Raw genomic sequence first — 17,569 nt, 5'->3', positions numbered from 1 at the left:
CCAAATGATAGGAGCAAACCAAATGTCCACCAACAGATGAATGGATAAACAAAATGCAGTATATACATGTAATGGAATATTATTCAGCCTTAAAAAAGGAAGGAAATTCTGATACATGCTGCAAACGGGATGAAGCCTGAAAACATTATTGTTACGCTAAGTAAATAAGCCAGCCACAACAGAATCAACATTGTATGATTCCACTTATATATCTAGAATAGTCAAGTTCACAGAGACAAGAAGTGGAATCGTGATTACCAGAGGCTGGGAGGAAAGAATGGGGAGGTATTGTTTAATGGGTAGTGTTATGATTTGAGATTTTAAAAAAGCTCTGGAAATAACAGTGATACTTGCACATGTAGGAGAGAAAAAAAATATCCTTTGTCTCTATCCTTTTAGGTTATCTGACTGGGACCCTGTAAATTAGACTAACGAAAGACAGATTAACAAGAAAAAATATGTAAAAATTTATTTAATGTAAGTTTTATGTGGCCAAGGAAACTTTATAAGGAAATGAAGACAAAGCAACAGTTAAGCCTGTGCATTTTTCTACTAGATTTGAGGAAGAGTAAAAAGTCATGGAAAAATGTAATAGGACAAAGGCTATGAGCTAAGGGTAGTAATCTGGGGAAAACAACAAGCCCTGTTCATTCAGATTCCTCTCGGCATCCCTCCCTCTTCAGAGGTAGGGATGCTCTTTTCCTCTGAGTATAGCAAGGGCACCTCTTACATGAGGGTCTTGGGATCTGCTTCAAGGGAAAAACAGGAGGTCAGAGAGTCCTTCTAGCACCTATTTCTCAAATTCCTTCAGTTTAAAATACTCAATATGCCAAAGTGCCATATTTTGGGGCAGTGTGTTCTGAACCACATCATACAACATTGTGAATGTTCTTAATGCCACTGAATTGTATACTTAAAAATGGTTACAATGGTAAAGTTTACGTCGTATGTGTTTTATCATGATTTTTTAAAATGAAAAAAAATTATTGAGATTTATGAAGGCCCATTGAATGGGCATCCAGTGAATGTCAAAAGTCTATGACATTACTGTTCCTAAATGGAATAAAAAACCAAAATGAACAACCAAAGAGGTATACACAAGTTTATTTAAGAAATTAGATTGAATCTCATTTTTTAAAAGTAATCTCACAATACAGAATGTTAACTAAAAGTCTGAAACCTGAAAAAGCATTAATCAAATATTGTTGGGGAGGAGAAAAACATCTTTATCTTTTACTCATTTTAGGTTCATTGGCTGGGGCCCCTGGAACAAAAGACAGAAAGAAAGAATCATAGAAATGTGTATGTTTTGCGTGACACTGGAGCCTTCAATAGGAAATGAAGACCCAAAGAAGTGCTTAAAACTGGGTTGCTTTATGCTAGGTTTGATGAAGAGTAGACGGTCATGGGGAAATATGATAGCATAAAATGGGCATGTGCTAATTATAATAAACTAGGAGAAACGACAAGGCTTGTCCATTCAGATTCCTCTCAGCATCCCTGTGTCTTTGGAGATATGGATGCTCCTTTCCTCCAGGTATAAGGAGGGCACCTCTCACATGACCTGCTTTAGGGAAAGTCAGAAAGTCCTTCCAGCATAGGGAATTTCTCAGATTCTTTCAGCTTAAAATATTCAATATGCCAAGGTGCCATATTTTGGGTTAGTGTGCCCTGAACCTAATCAATATTATAGAACAAAGTTATTCTAAACTCACAATAAGTGGAAGGATTGTCACTATCAAATTATATATGAGTACTGGGATGGATATCAAAGTTTAATAAACTAATTTTGTTGATGAATTTTAAAGGAAATGACAAGAAAGCAAGCAAAAATGTAACAAAAAAAGAGTGACAAAAAAAAAAAGAGTATGGCCAGCTCTGCAGAGGAAGGAGAAGAGAGAAGTGAGAGCAGCAGTTGAGTGGTCTGAGATGACAACTGTTGGAAAAGCTAAAAAGAGAGACTTTAATCTGGGATGAAAGTAACTGTGTGCAAAACTTGATGGCAATTCATGAAGTCTCATTCTATGGTGTTCTTTGCTCTCATTATCAGTGAGGAATATTGAGACGGGAGAGTTCCCTTGACCCCCTCATGGGACTTGCAACAGGGGTGTCTCCTTTGCTCGGCCACCGCACTCAAACTCCTTACAGGAGGGGAAGCTTGCAGGTTGGCAGGTGCAGGAGCAAGGAACGAACCTGGTACTGGCCCATGGCAGTGTCTAGGGGTTGCTAGTGACCTCTAGAGCCCCAGAGGGCATGTCTTACAATGATCTTTTAGCATTTGCCATCCACAGATGGCTAAGTGTTAAACCAGGTCAGTGGAGGATCAGGGTGACAGGCTTTTACACCCTGCCCTCTTGGTACCTGGGTTCTTGTCCAGCATCCAGGAAGAATCAGTTCACACAGACTTGAAGGATAATCAATGTGGAGATTTTATTGAGCAGTGGAAGTGGCTCTCAGTAGGATGGGGAGCTGGAAAGGGGATGGAGTAGGAAGATAATCTTCCCCTGGAGTTCAGCTGGAGACAGCCAAACTCCTCTCTGACTGTAGTCTCCAATGTCCAGCTGCCTCTTCTCTTCTCTCCTTTTCTGCCACACCACTGGGCTCCTCTGCCAGTGGAGCTTGGAGTTTTTATGGACACAGGATGTGAGGGTGGCAGCACATAAGGTAATATTTGCGCAGAAAAACAGGGATGTGAAGTTCTCATTTAGGGACGTGGGTCCAGGCTTGGGGGTAGAACACTTGCCAGAAGCCCCACCCTTTTCTACCTAGTATTTCTCTGCCTCCTGTCCATATCAACACCAATTATAATGGGAAAGAACAGTTGAGACAGAGTGTCAGGGAAAATTGGTTTTGGCCAAGAATCTTTGATATGTTCAGTAGAGGATGTGGGACAGAAAGGTATGATCCCTTTCCTCATCCATCATAAGGGTCATGGCCAACACTCCTATAACAAAAGACAGTACATATATACCATGGAATACTACACAGCCATAAGAAAGAAAAAAATCATGTCGTTTGCAACATGGATACAGCTGAAGGCCATTATCCTATGTGAATTAATGAATTAACACAGGAACAGAAAAACAAATACTGTGTGTTCTCACAAGTAGGAGCTAAACATTGAGTACACATGGACACAAAGAAGGGAACAATAGACACTGAGGACTACTAGAAGGAGAAGGGAAGGGGGCGTGGGCTGAAAAACCACCTATTGGGTACTATGCTCACTGCCTGGGTGACAAGACCATCTGTACCCTAAATCTCAGCATCACACAATATACCCATGTAATACATCTGCACATATACCCTCTGAAACAAAAAAAAAGGTGGGGAGTGGGGGAAGCTTAACCAGAAAAAGGCGTAACAGGCTGGGCACAGTGGCTCACACCTGTAATCCCAGCACTTTGGGTGGCCAAGGCGGGCGGATCATGAGGTCAGGAGATCGAGACCACACTGGCTAACACAGTGAAACCCCGTCTCTACTAAAAATACAAAAAAATTAGCCAGGTGTGGTGGCGGGTGCCTGTAGTCCCAGCTACTCGGGAGGTGAGGCAGGAGAATGGCGTGAACCTGGGAGGCGAGGCTTGCAGTGAGCCGAGATCGCGCCACAGCACTCCAGCCTGGGCGACACAGCGAGACTCCAACTCAAAAAAAAAAGGCATAACAAAGTTACTTGATATAATCAAGTTTTACATGACAAAGATTGAGTCTTCATATCTCAAACTTTGAGATATGAGGAGTCAAAGACTGAGGGAAAATTGTCTGTTTTTATGCTTAGATTCAATGAAGAATAGACAGCCACGTAGAAATGTGACTGGACAAAGGGAATGATCTAGTGGTAATAGACTGTAGGGGTGAAAACCCAGCAATCCCTGTCTGTTCCAATTCACCTTGGCCTCTCTGTGTGGCATTCCTTCCTCCTGGCTACAGGGAAGGACTCCTTTGGAATGAGGGTCTTCTTTATGGCTTGCTTTTTGGGGAGAGGAGATCTAGTTTCTATAACCTGCCTTGGGGAAGAGAAATTCTAGACTCTATAACTTGTTTTGGAGGAGAAGGAGAGGGAGAGGACGAGAGAACAGGAGAAGGTCAGAGATTTTGCTTCTGAAGCAGCTTCTAAGGCCTTCTGATCTCCAGTTCAAAGTGCTCAGCAGTGCCAAAGCACCATGTTTTGGGGTGTTGCTTTCTGAGCCCCAACAAGGAGATATGAGAACAGGTACTGGCAAGAGCTGCGGCAGGAAGCTGCCCACACAGGGGCAAAGGTTTGGACAAGTTTTGAAGGGGAGAAATAGACAATTTCTGGCACCTATGCAGAGCAAAACGCAGCAGGATTTGGCAAGAAGAGCCAGGTAGGAAATGTAGAAGGAAAGATAATTGAAAGACAACAGTGAGTCAATGAGTCTTTAATCTGATAGCCAGAAGGAAAAGGTGACGAAAATAGAACATAGTTACAACCAAAGCAAAAGTATTAAGTTACTAGTTAATTATTAATTTAGCAGGATGTTAAATGTAATGACCTAAATCTCTGTAAGGTTTTTCTCGTTGTTGTTTTTGAGACAGGGTCTCATTCTGTTGCCCAGGCTAGATTGCAGTGGTGTGATCATAGTTGACTGCGACCTCGAACTGCTAAGCTCAAGCAATCCTCTGCCTCAACCTCCTGAGTGGCTGGGACCACAGGCATGTGCCACCAAGCGTGGCTAAGTTTGTCAAAAAGTATGTTTTAAAGATGAGGATTTCTCCATGTTGCCCAGACTGATCTCAAACTCCTGTGTTCAACCCATCCTCCTGCCTCAGCCTCTCAAAGTGCTGTGATTACAGGTGTGAGCCACCACACCTGGCCATTTCTGTAAGTTCTAAAGGTGTAAACAGCAAAGACAAGGAAGTAAGTTGAAACTCCCAAAACTCTTCTTTCAAAGGAAATGTCTTATCCAACCACACACACCAACACGTTTATGCTATTTGTTGAGTGTTTTTTGTTTTCCTCAAAGCTTTGGAGGATTTTATTGAAATCTTCATTTATGACTTTGAACCATATTTGAGGCCCCTTTGTATGTGCCCTGGTGTGGAAAAGCCTCCTATACTACAGGGTTCCGAATAAATAATGAGACATATACCAGGTCTATGCTTTTGTGTTACTCACCATAATAAAAATAGCGTGCTTGGTGTACCAAATAAATAATGTGTTGAGATGTTACATTACACCAAATAAATCGATAAAAACAAATGTCTTTCAGCACAATAATTTTGTCTCAAACTCTAACCACGTAATAGAAAATAGATTTCCTGTGTTCTTGAGCATGGATTGTAAACAGAACCATACCAGTAGTCTCTGTTTATTGTTTTGTGTAAGTTCAGAGGGAGAGCGGATTGTTTACTAGAACAAAATCCTTTAAAAAGAAAAAAAAAGGATTCTCATCTTTCATTTAGGTTAATAACACACTACATATATTTGTCCATCAAATTAGAATTACTGTCAGCCCATAATGCATTTTAGTTTAGCCAATATCAGTCAGTCCTGATTTATTTGCTTAATACAAATCTAATTGAGTTTCAGGCTGCTCTTCTCCTTTCAGCTGTTAACCGACCAAGTACATCTTTAATTTCCAAGACCGATGGTGTGGTAGCAGTTGAGAGGAAGAGCGATTTGCATAAGGCCCCAGAAGGGTGCCAAAACTCTTCACGCTTTAAACAACAGCCTTTATTATTCTGTAAGTGGATGTGTTGAATTTTCATGCTTTTGTTTCCAGTTCAGTCCTGACAGAAAAGAATAAAGTAGATTTTGCCAGCACCCCTGCTGTGCCCTGGGGGAGAAATTCAATGTGCCTCATTTGTCTTAATTGGAGAACCGCCCTCAGCACCAGCTTTTTCTATGAATACATTAGCATAACAGACAGAAAATTCAAGCCCACTTTTGTAGAAACAGTCTCCCCCACACACCCACCTCCCATTTTTAAGACTAATAAAAACTGCAAGAGGGGAGAAGTGTTTCATCTCCTGAATTTCTTACAGTTGCTGTTGTAAAATTCTCTGTACAGGAAAGATGCATCAAGCCTATTTTATCTCTGCACTGTTATTAGAGCCAGTCGTGGAAAATGTGATAAATATCATCCATGACGGAGAGCTGAAAGCTTCTCTTTATTCTTCATAATGTGCTAATCCTATATACTTGTTCGTTGACTGGTTATGCTGCTTTTTCAGAGGGGAGAGTAGGTTTTATATAGAGATGAATGTGTAGCAGCTATGAATGAATCTAGAAGAAAAAAAAAGAAAAATTCTCACCGAGGTGAATTTATTAACACTAAAACAAACGCAATTATCTCAGTCAAAGCAAGATTTTAAACCCTGTGCCAATTCATTGGAGAAATATTAAATTCATCTTCACGTTTTTCATATTACAAAAGGGCTCTAAGTCTGGACAAACAACCTGTGCTGTGTAAATCATTTCCCTAATCCAGGCTCTTTCAGTATCAGATTGAACTAATGGAATTTAAAGGTAGGTATTTCAAAAGAAATATTTCGTCTACGTGTTCCCAAGACTGGTATTAATTCTTTTATCACATCTGCTCAACCTGCTTGCCATTGCCAGCATGTGAAAGAGAAAAGGAAAATATGGGGAAAGATGTAATTTCTTAATAAAATGTGGTGTACACATTCTCTTGGAAAGATGGCTGCCTTTCAAAATAACAATGAATCCATATTTTGTCTTGATTTTTTCTCCAGCAGGCCTAATTTACCACGTCAGTCACATACTGCTCTCACTAGATGCCTTCCAGGGATTTTAAATAAGGTTTTGTTGTTGTTGTTAAGAGCTTGTTTTGTTTTGAATTATTTGTATGCTCATTTGAAAACTAAATACCTTTTGGGTCAGGTCCTTGTGGGTAAATGGAAAGCAAAATCATTTTGGAATAATAATTTTGAGATACAGAAGCTTCTGCGGCCTAGAGAGAAGCAAACAGTTCTTCCTTCTGTGTAAATCCTCATTGTGTCACCCATTTCAAATGTCTGGTAATACTAACAGAAAGCCTGAAGGCAATGCTGAGAGACTGTCAGCCTCCCATCCCCCTTCCTCCTCCCATCCCTCACTTTCCACTCACTCAGCCCCAGTAAACATTCCAAGAGGGTGTGGTGACTTGGTCAGTATTAGAGACTAGGAAGTAAACGTCTGCTTTCTAGCATAAGTGAATCTAAAAAATAATTATTTGACTTGATTTGTCCTGCAAGCAGATGTCAGCTTTTCACCTTGCTAATAGTTTCATTTACATTGTAAAGCTGACAAGCAGTTTACGCAGTTTATCAGATAATTTCTGCTCCTCTTTAAACAAGCATTCTGGCCACTCTGAGTTCTTCCTTGAATCCTCCTCCCGACACTCTCCTGTAACTAACCTTGATGTCTTGTCTGGGATCTGAACTCACATCTATTTCGCATGGCTAAGCCTGTTCTGCACGTCAGTTAGAGAGATGGTCCCCTGCGAACACTTGAGGCTCTATTCCATACTATTTTATTTCTTTTTTCTTTCCTTTTTTTCTTTTTTGAGACAGGGTCTCACTCTGTCACCCAGGCTGGAGTGCATGTGGCAAAATGGCTCACTGCAACGTTCGCTTCCCAGGCTCAAAGGATCCTCCTACCTCAGCCCTTCAAGTAGCTGGGACGACAGGCGCATGCCACCACGCCCGGCTAATTTTTGTATTTTTTGGAGAGATGGGGTTTCCGCCATGTTGCCCAGGTTGTTCTCAAACTTGTAGGCTCAAGTGATGCTCCCACCTTGGCTTCCCAAAGTGCTGAGATTATAGGCATGAGCCACCGTGCCCCACCTATATTCCATACTATTTTTTTCTTTAAAAAAGTAAATACATATCTTCCAGAATTTTCATACTCTTATCCACTTTCTCATCCTATCACCTTTCAAAAATTATTCCTATCAATGTGCAAAAATTATAAGAGAAATGGGATGAGACGTAGAATTGAAGACCGAAAGCTTTTCTTGGGAAGTTGTTGCTGTTTTTCTTAAACATATTTTGCTTTTAAAGATGGTTCTTTGACAAAAGCTTTCCATTTGTGAAGAAAAAAGATTGTTCCTAACATTTGCTATTGTGAGAGTAATGTGTGTTCATTGTATTAAAATGAGAAAATTCCAAAACTCATTTTTAAAAAGGGGTAAGAGCCATTTATATTTCTTTGTTTTTTTGCTTTTGTTTTTGTTTTTTGAGACAGGATCTCACTCTGTTGCACAGGATAGAGTGCAGTAGTGTGATTACACCACACTGCAGCCTCAAACTTCTGGGCTCAAGTGATCCTCCTGCTTCAGCCTCCTGAGTAGCTGGGATTACAGGTGTGCACCACCACACCCAGCTAATTTTTAATTTTTTTGTAGAGACAAGGTCTCACTATGTTGCTCTGGCTGCTCTCGAACTCCTGGGCTCAAGAAATCACCCTGCCTCAGCTTCCCAAAATGCTAGGATTACAGGCATGAGCTACAGCACCTGCTCATGTTTCTTTATATTGCTCCAGTTTCTGAGAAAGACACCACATTTATCATTGACATAACAGGCAAATTGGTATTTCAAAATGTGCTAATGACAAAGACTACCTCCTTGACCAAGTGTGGCTCCTTTGAGCTCTATTTTTCAATTAGGCCCTGTCGCTGGGCATGCCCTCAGGAGCCCAGTTTTAGCAAGAATTCTATCAAGTCAGTTCAGCCAGAATCTTTCACCCTTGATATCTGATAACCCTCTATAATCTGACCAAATTCCTCATTCCCCATCATTTTCCAGATGGTGTCTGATCACCCTGGCCTGACTTCAGCAAGAATCCTGTTAGGGCAGTTTAGCAAAAATTAGCCTACCCTCATAACAATTTTCTATACAGAACCCCTTCCTCCCCTACCTCTACTCCTTCGCTGTAAATTCCCACTCTGTTTTGTTGTATGTGGAGTTGAAGCCAATCTCATTTCCCCACTGCAAAACCCCATAGCAGTCCCTACATCTATTGCAATAATCCCTACATCTATTGCAATAGTCCTGACTAAAGTCTACCTTATTGTTTTAACAAGTCACAATACTTTTTTCTTTAGCACTCTTAAAAGAAAAACTTTAGACAAAATACATTTAACACAGTTTATATGAACATTAAAGATTTATGAACCAGACACCACTCAAACCTGGAAGAGGTTCAGAGAGCTCTGCTTCAGCAACATGAGTGGCAGGATTTTATAGGCTGAGCTCAGAGGCAGAGTAAACAAATTATTTGATTGGCTACAGGTAGGCATTTGCCTTATTTGGAATCCTAGTTAGAGGTTAGTTGGCAGTTTTTGATTGGTTAGGTTTAAGTTTCATTTATTGTTTACGTTGAATTGGGTTTTGGTTTTTTTACCTAGGAACCCAAGGTACAGAAGGCATCTCAGCCTAATGGCGTTCCAATTAACAACACACCAGGTACAGTGGCTCATGCCTGTAGCCCCAGCACTTTGGGAGGCCAAGGCAGGAGGATCACTTGAGCCTGGGAGTTTGAGACCAGTCTGGGCAACATGGTGAAACCCTGTCTTCCCAAAAAATACAGAAATTAGATAGGCATTGTGGTGCATGCTTGTAGTCCCAGCTACTCGGGAGACTGAGGTGGAAGGATCACTTGAGCCTGGGAGGTCGAGGCTGCAGTGAGCTATGATCATGCTACTATCCACTCCAGCCTGGCTGACAGAGTGAGACCCTACCTCAAAAACAAACAGACAAATAAAAAACCCAACATTAATATGTTCATTTTTTGCTTGCCCACCCCCATTGTCAATTTGGCCCAACTCCCCTAGTGAGAGGTGACAATGTGCTAGCAGCCCTCGCTCACTCTCGGCACCTCCTTGGCCTCGGCATCCACTCTGGCCGCACTTGAGGAGCCCTTCAGCCTACCGCCGCACTGTAGGAGCCCCACTCTGGGCTGGCTGAGGCCGGAGCCAGCCTCCCTCTGCTTGCAGGAAGGTGTGGAGGGAGAGGGGCGGACAGGAACCGGGGCTCTGCCCGGCGCTCACAGGCCAGCATGAGTTCCTGGTGGTGGTGGACTCGGCAGGCCCCACACTCAGAGCGGCCCTGGGCAGTGAGGGGCTTAGCACCCGGGCCAGCAGCTGCGGAGGTTGCACCAGGTCCCCCAGCACTGCCAGCCCACGTGCGCCGTGCTTGAATTCTTGCCAGGCCTCAGCTGCTTCCCCATGGGCCAGGGCTCAGGACCTGCAGCCCGCCATGCCCTATACCCCTACCCCGTGGGCCCCCACATGGCCCGAGCCTCCCCAATGGGCGCCGCCCCATACTCCAGAGCGCCCGGTCCCATCAACCGCCCAAGGGCTGAGGAGTGTGAGCGCGTGGCGCAGGACTGGCGGGCAGCTCCACCCGTGGCCCCAGTGTGGGATCCACTAGGTGAAGTCAGCTGGGCTCCTGAGTTGGGTGGGGACTTGGAGAACTTTTATGTCTAGCTAAAGGTTTGTAAATGCACCAATCAGCACTCTGTGTCTAGCTCAAAGTTTGTAAACACACCAATCAGTGCTCTGTGTCTAGCTAATGTAGTGGGGACTTGGATAACTTTTGTGTCTAGCTAAGGGATTGTAAATGCGCCAATCAGTGCTGTGTCTAGCTAATCTAGTGGGGACTTGGAGAACTTTTGTGTCTAGCTAAAGGACTGTAAATGCATCAATCAGCACTCTGTGTCTAGCTCAAGGTTTGTAAATGCACCAATCAGCACCCTGTGAAAATGGACCAATCAGCTCTCTGTAAAATGGGCCAATCAGCTCTCTGTAAAATGGACCAATCAGCAGGATGTGGGTGGGGTCAGATAAGGGAATAAAAGCAGGCTGCCCAAGCCAGCAGCGGCAACCCACTCGGGTCCCTTTCCACACTGTGGAAGCTTTGTTTTGTTCTTTCGCTCTTCCCAATAAATTTTGCTGCTGCTCACTTTTTGGGTCCACGCCGCCTTTAAGAACTGTAACACTCACCGCGAAGGTATGCAGCTTCACTCCTGAAGCCAGCGAGACCACGAGCCCACCAGAAGGAAGAACCTACGGACACACCATCTTTAAGAACTGTAACACTCACTGCGAGAGTCCGCGGCTTCATTCTTGAAGTCAGCGAGACCAAGAACCCACCAATTCCAGACACACTAGGTTGAGAGATGCTCTTTCAAAAGACAAATCTGATGTTAACCTGGACAAAGTTAAGGAGAACTACTTTGTAATGATTAATACATTATCTTTTTGTTCCACCACTCTCTGAAAAGCTATTTTCCCCACAAAAACTGAGCACTTGTAGTAAAGGCTCTTGAAAATCAGGCATAGGTATTTGGGAAGGAACAGCAGGTTAGCCAGGAAGAACAGATGGATGGAACATTAACTTTCTTCATAGCCACAAAATATAAATTTGTCTTGAAGACCTAAAGTAAAAATAATCCTAGTGGCTTCACATGGCATATTTCTGTGGGCAATATATGGGGTAACAGGTAAGTGGGTAACTTGACGAGACAGGTTTTGACGTGCCATGTCTCCCAGAACAAACCCTGGGATTCTTTTATGAATCTGTACTTTTGAAGAGTAAAATTTCCAAAGTCATATAAATATTAGTAGGGAAAAATCTAGAGTAATTGACTTTGGAAAGCACACTTTCAGCTATAAAACTTACTTAGTTTATACAGGTTTGGTCAACACACAAAAGCCAAACGATACTAAGAATAGGCCCACTAGTAGGACCAGAGTTTAAGGTAAAATATTCCTAAATTTAAACAAACAGTTCAAACAACAATGACCTAAAATTCCACGTGATGATTATTTCTGTTAAAGTTACAAAGAAAGAGACATATAAGTGCTAATTTAACATCAGCAAATTAACAGTAAGATGCAGCACTTCCTGTAGTAACCCGCATAATGAAGCAGTGAGGGGGAAACTTATATTCTCACCTTAGAGAATTTGAAACAAATTAGGCAAATGGGAAACTCCTGTTTATTTAGGGAACACCCTCACCATTATTTTTTTCTTGTTTTAAACTTCTTTGAAACTTATTGATTGAATATTTGCTTTTCGGTTGATGATGTCTTTGCAGCTGATTCTTAAGACAAAGCTAAAGTAAGCTGGGAGAGTCACTTTAAGTAACTTCTGCTTTATCTGTTGATGAGGTTCAGAATATGTTGCCCCCAAATTTGGTAACTTGACATACTGCATATTCTAAACAGAATTTGAGAAATGGCAGGTGTTGAAAGGACTGACCTCCCTCTTTTCCCTGAAGCAGATCACAGAACCCTCCTGTGAGAGGAGCCCTCCCTGTACTCCCAGAAAATGAGCACTCCTATCTCTGAAGATGGAGGGATGCCACGAGGAAAGTAATGAACAGGCCTTGCTAAGTTTCCACCAGGTTATTAACCTTAGCCCAAAAGCTTTTGTCCTGTCATGTTTTTCCATGACTTTCTGCACATCAAATCTAGTATGAAAGTGAGAAGGCTTAACTGTTTCTTCAAGTCTTCATTTCCTTATAAAGACCCGTGTCATATAAAACTTACATTAAATAAACTTATTTTTTTCTCATGTTAATCTGTCTTTTGTGAGTCAGATTTACAGGGCCTGACTTAGGCGGTAGGGGGAAAGGTTTTTTTCCTTCCCTGTACTGTCAGCATTCTTCAGTGATGTTATCTGTTCTCTAAAATGGGAAGGCGGCCATGCGCAGTGGCTTACATCAGTAATCCCAGCACTTTGGGAGGCTGAGGCAGACAGATCACCTGAGGTCAGGAGTTCGAGACCAGCGTGGCCAACATAATGAAATTCCATCTCTACCAAAAAATAATACAAAAATTAGCAGGGCATGGTGGCTGTAGTCCCAGCTACTCAGGAGTCTGAGGCAGGAGACTCGCTTGAACCTGGGAGGCAGACGTTGCAGTGAGCTGAGATCGAGTCACTGCACTCCAGACAGAGCGACAGAGCAAGAATCCATGTCAATAAATAAATAAATAATAAAATGAGAAGGAACATCACGAATGAATGATGGATTTTAAGTAATTATCTCCTTTAGGTGTTAACCTATAAAGAGAAGACGAGACACCTGTGTGAGGCACGCAATTGTGCACAGTGTTTTCCATCTGGAAAACAAACTTGCTCCCTGTAAGGTGTTACAGGTCTTTTCCTTAGTTTAGCTAAAGACAGCGTTCTTGTCCATCCCGCGACAACAAAAATTTAGGTTCGCAGATGGTTTAAAGGGTGAGTAAAGCAGGGTTTTATTGGGTGAAACAGGGAAAAATGAGGGGGGGAACAGGGGTCCTCCGCAAGTCCAGAGTCCCCTGCTAGAGCACTTCCCGCCCGACGTCCGAATCCCAGGTTCCACACAGGAAGAGGCAAGGCCAGCTCCTCCCTACTGCAAAGGGCTCAAACTTCCCAGGCTCCACCTCAGTAGACAGGCTGGTTGGAGTTTCTCCAGGGACCCCCTCCCACCTGGCTGTCTCATTCCCCCGTCTAAAGAAGTATATCTAACTCCCGTTAGATTAAGGATAAGGACTAAGACCAATCTTAACCACTTTCTGCAGACGGGGGCGCTGTTTTGGGGAAACGGCAGTCAGAGCTTCCTCCGAGGCCTATGTGAGGATCCCCAGAAGAAGGGGCCATCTTCAGAGGCTCTGGTTGCCTGTTTGGAATTTGATGGCCTGAAGGCAAGAACAGAAAAACAGGGTTATTAGAAGACATGCATCAAAATGAAACAAGGGGGAGGGGTAAGGACAGCTAAAAAATTCCAAGGCCTTTTACCAGTTTGCACAGGGAGAGACAGGCCAAAAGACCAATTGGCAAAAAATCTTTACCCTTTTGCCGGCATGTTGAGTTTCTGGGTTCCCTTCCCCTGAGCCCAATCCTAAGCCAACCAGTTGAAGGTTTAGGAAATTAACTCTTTCCAGTTTGGAGGATGCATCTGAAGGGAGTGTCCTGCAGTATGGAAACAAAATTACCTAACTGAACAAAGGAGGAGAAAGGGAAAAGAAGGCACTTTTCAAAGGAGTCCCAGTGGTTGGCCACGCATCTAGAAAGAGGGAAGCAGGGATCCCTGGTTCCCTTCTCATCCTAGCTGATACCCAAGATACATGAGGGAGAGAGGAAAAAGCATCCTTTTTCCCTCTTCCATCCTTGCATCCCCGAGTCCTGGCAACCTTGGCAGGCACCGCCACGTGTGCCAAAGTGGCTTGCACCCATGAAGCAGGGAGGGCCTGGAGAATAGGAATTATCTGCTTGTCAGGCCTCTGAGCCCAAGCTAAGCCTTCATATCCCCTGTGACCTGCACGTATACATCCAGATGGCCTGAAGTAACTGAAGAATGACAAAAGAAGTGAAAATGGCCTGTTCCTTCCCTAACTGATGACATTACCTTGTGAAATTCCTGCTCCTGGCTCATCCTGGCTCAAAAGCTCCCCTGCTGAGCACCTTGTGACCCCCCACCCCTGCCCGCCAGAGAACAACCCCTCTTTGACTGTAATTTTCCTTTACCTACCCAAATCTTATGAAACGGCCCCACCCCTATCTCCCTTCACTGACTCTTTTCAGACTCAGCCTGCCTGCACCCAGGTGAAATAAACAGCCTTGTTGCTCACACAAAGCCTGTTTGGTGGTCTCTTCACACGGACGTGAGTGAAATTTTGGTGCCGTGACTCAGATCAGCGGACCTCCCTTGAGAGATCAATCCCCTGTCCTCCTGCTCTTTGCTCCACGAGAAAGATCCACCTACGACCTCGGGTCCTCAGACTGACCAGCCCAAGGAACATCTCACCAACTTTAACACTGCTAAGCAGCCTCTCTTTACTCTCTTCTCCAACCTCTCTCACTATCCCTCAACCTCTTTCTCCTTTCAATCTTGGCGCCACACTTAAATTTCTCCCTTCTCTTAATTTGGGAGTTGTCAGTGCATAAATGGAGGCTGAAGCTCAGATGTCAGGCAGACCACCAGGAGCAAGAGCAAAGACTGAGGGGAGGGCAAAGACAGAGGGGAGAGCAAAGACAGAGGGGAGTTTCTTTCCTTTTCTGGTAGACACTAAGGAGACGCGTTTTATCCATGAACCCAAAACTCTGGCACCGGTCATGGACTCAGGAAGACAGTCTTCCCTTGGTGTTTAATCGTGCAGGGATGCCTGCCTGATTATTCACCCACGTTTCAGAGGGGTCTGCACAAGTGGGGACACCTGCCTTGGTCCTTCACCCTTAGCAGCAAGCACCACTTTTCTGGGGGGCAAGCACCCCCCGACCCCTTCTCTCCATGTCTCTACCCCTTTTCCACTTTCCTGGGGGGCAAGCACCCCCCAACACTTCTCTCCATGTCTCTACCCTCTCTTTTCTCTGGACTTGCCTCCTTCACTACAGTCAACCTTCTACCCTCCATTCCTCCTTCTCCCTTAGCCTGTGTTCTCAAAAACTTAAAACCTCTTCAACTCACACCTGACCTAAAACCTAAACGCCTTATTTTCTTCTACAATGCCGCTTGACCCCAATACAAACTCGACAATGGTTCCAAATAGCCAGAAAATGGCACTTTTGATTTTTTCCATCCTACAAGATCTAGATAATTCTTGTCGTAAAATGGGCAAATGGTCTGAGGTACCTGACGTCCAGGCATTCTTTTACACATAGGTCCCTCCCCAGTCTGTTCCCAAGGCAACTCGTCCCAAATCCTCCTTCTTTCGCTCCTGCCTATCCCCTCAGTCCCAACCCCAAGTGTCGCTGAGTCTTTCTAATCTTCCTTTTCTACAGACCCATCTGACCTCTCCCCTCCTCCCCAGGCTGCTCTTCGCCAGGCCGAGCTAGGTCCCAATTCTTCCTCAGCCTCCACTCCCCCACCCTATAATCCTTTTATCACCTCCCCTCCTGACACCCAGTCCTGCTTACAGTTTTGTTCCTCAACTAGCCCTCCCCCACCTGCCCAGCAATTTCCTCTTAAAAAGGTGGCAGGAGCTAAAGGCATAGTCAAGGTTAATACTCCTTTTTCTTTATCCAACCTCTCCCAAATCAGTTAACGTTTAGGCTCTTTTTCATCAAATATAAAAATCCAGCCCAGTTCATCACTTGTTTGGCAGCAACCCTGAGACGCTTTACAACCCTAGACCCTGAAAGGTCAGAAGGCCATCTTATTCTCAATATGCATTTTATTACCCAATCTGCTCCCAACATTAAATAAAGCTCCAAAAATTAAATTCCAGCCCTCAAACCCCAAAACAGGACTTAATTAACCTCACCTTCAAGGTGTACAATAATAGAGAGGAGGCACCAGGCAGCAACGCATTTCTGAGTTGCCAATTCCTTGCCTCCACTGTGAGACAAACCCCAGCCACATCTCCAGCACACAAGAACTCCAAATGCCTGAACCGCAGCTGCCAGAGGTTCCCCCAGAACCTCCTCCCCCAGCTTGCTACAAGTGCCAGAAATCTGGCCACTGGGCCAAGGAATGCCCACAGCCCAGGATTCCTCCTAAGCCGTGTCCCATCTCTGCAGGACCCCACTGAAAATCGGACTGTCAACTCACCTGGCAGCCACTCCCAGAGCCCCTGGAACTCTGGCCCAAGGCTCTCTGACTCCTTCCCAGATCTTCTTGGCTTAGCGGCTGAAGACTGACGCTGCCCGATCACCTCAGAAGCCCCCTGGACCATCATGGATGCTGAGCTTTGGATAACTCTTACAGTGAAGGGTAAGTCCATCCCCTTCTTAATCAATATGGAGGCTACCCACTCCACATTGCCTTCTTTTCAAGGGCCTGTTTCCCTTGCCTCCATAACTGTTGTGGGTATTGATGGCCAGGCTTCTAAACCCCTTAAAACTCCCCACCTCTGGTGCCAACTTGGACAATATTCTTTTATGTACTCCTTTTTAGTTATCTCCCCCTGCCCAGTTCCCTTATTAGGCCGAGCATTTTAACTAAATTATCTGCTTCCCTGACTATTCCTAGGCTACAGCCACACCTCATTGCTGCCCTTTTCCCCAGTTCAAAGCCTCCTTCACATCCTCCCCTTGTATCTCCCCACCTTAATCTACTAGTACAACTCTACTCCCTCCTTGGCGACTGATCATGCACCCCTTACCATCCCATTAAAACCTAATCACCCTTACCCCACTCAACGCCAATATCATATCCCACAGCATGCTTTAAAAGGATTAAAGCCTGTTATCACTCGCCTGCTACAGCATGGCCTTTTAAAGCCTTTAAACTCCCCTTACAATTCCCCCATTTTGCCAGTCCTAAAACCAGACAAGGCTTACAGGTTAGTTCAGGATCTGTGCCTTATCAACCAAATTGTTTTGCCTATCCACCCCATGGTGCCACCCATATAACTCTCCTATCCTCAATACCTCCCTCCGTACCCATTACTCTGTTCTGGAACTCAAAGATGCTTTCTTTACTATTCCTTTGCACCCTTCATCCCAGCCTCTCTTTGCTTTCACTTGGACTGACCCTGACACCCATCAGGCTCAGCAAATTGCCTGGCGTGTACTACCGCAAGGCTTCACAGACAGCCCCCATTACTTCAGTCAAGCCCAAATTTCTTCCTCATCTGTTGCCATCTCAGCATAATTCTCATAAAAACACTCGTGCTCT

General features: G+C 44.2%; 1 long non-coding RNA gene across 1 annotated transcript, besides 4 other annotated features; it reads right to left on the bottom strand.

The window, feature by feature from the left end:
• Window positions 5,286-5,939: an enhancer, noted in NCBI's record as "OCT4-NANOG-H3K27ac hESC enhancer chr5:124316205-124316858 (GRCh37/hg19 assembly coordinates)". NCBI's record gives its function as "activates a minimal SCP1, AML or CMV promoter by ChIP-STARR-seq in naive H9 embryonic stem cells {active_cell/tissue: H9 hESC(naive)}" and the evidence as "EXISTENCE:reporter gene assay evidence [ECO:0000049][PMID:30033119]".
• Window positions 5,940-6,594: an enhancer, noted in NCBI's record as "OCT4-NANOG-H3K27ac hESC enhancer chr5:124315550-124316204 (GRCh37/hg19 assembly coordinates)". NCBI's record gives its function as "activates a minimal SCP1, AML or CMV promoter by ChIP-STARR-seq in naive H9 embryonic stem cells {active_cell/tissue: H9 hESC(naive)}" and the evidence as "EXISTENCE:reporter gene assay evidence [ECO:0000049][PMID:30033119]".
• LOC124901055 (uncharacterized) lies at window positions 13,202-14,171 on the bottom strand. Its single transcript, XR_007058918.1, has 2 exons — window positions 13,803-14,171; window positions 13,202-13,649 (listed from the first exon to the last, which is right to left on the bottom strand). It is a non-coding gene; the product is annotated as an uncharacterized LOC124901055 (long non-coding RNA).
• Window positions 13,360-14,299: an enhancer, noted in NCBI's record as "NANOG-H3K27ac hESC enhancer chr5:124307845-124308784 (GRCh37/hg19 assembly coordinates)". NCBI's record gives its function as "activates a minimal SCP1, AML or CMV promoter by ChIP-STARR-seq in naive H9 embryonic stem cells {active_cell/tissue: H9 hESC(naive)}" and the evidence as "EXISTENCE:reporter gene assay evidence [ECO:0000049][PMID:30033119]".
• Window positions 14,300-15,240: an enhancer, noted in NCBI's record as "NANOG-H3K27ac hESC enhancer chr5:124306904-124307844 (GRCh37/hg19 assembly coordinates)". NCBI's record gives its function as "activates a minimal SCP1, AML or CMV promoter by ChIP-STARR-seq in naive H9 embryonic stem cells {active_cell/tissue: H9 hESC(naive)}" and the evidence as "EXISTENCE:reporter gene assay evidence [ECO:0000049][PMID:30033119]".

Source organism: Homo sapiens, chromosome 5 (assembly GCF_000001405.40).
Source record: "Homo sapiens chromosome 5, GRCh38.p14 Primary Assembly".
NCBI classification, from domain to species: Eukaryota; Metazoa; Chordata; class Mammalia; order Primates; family Hominidae; genus Homo; species Homo sapiens.
This window is presented reverse-complemented; position numbering and strand designations above follow the sequence as displayed.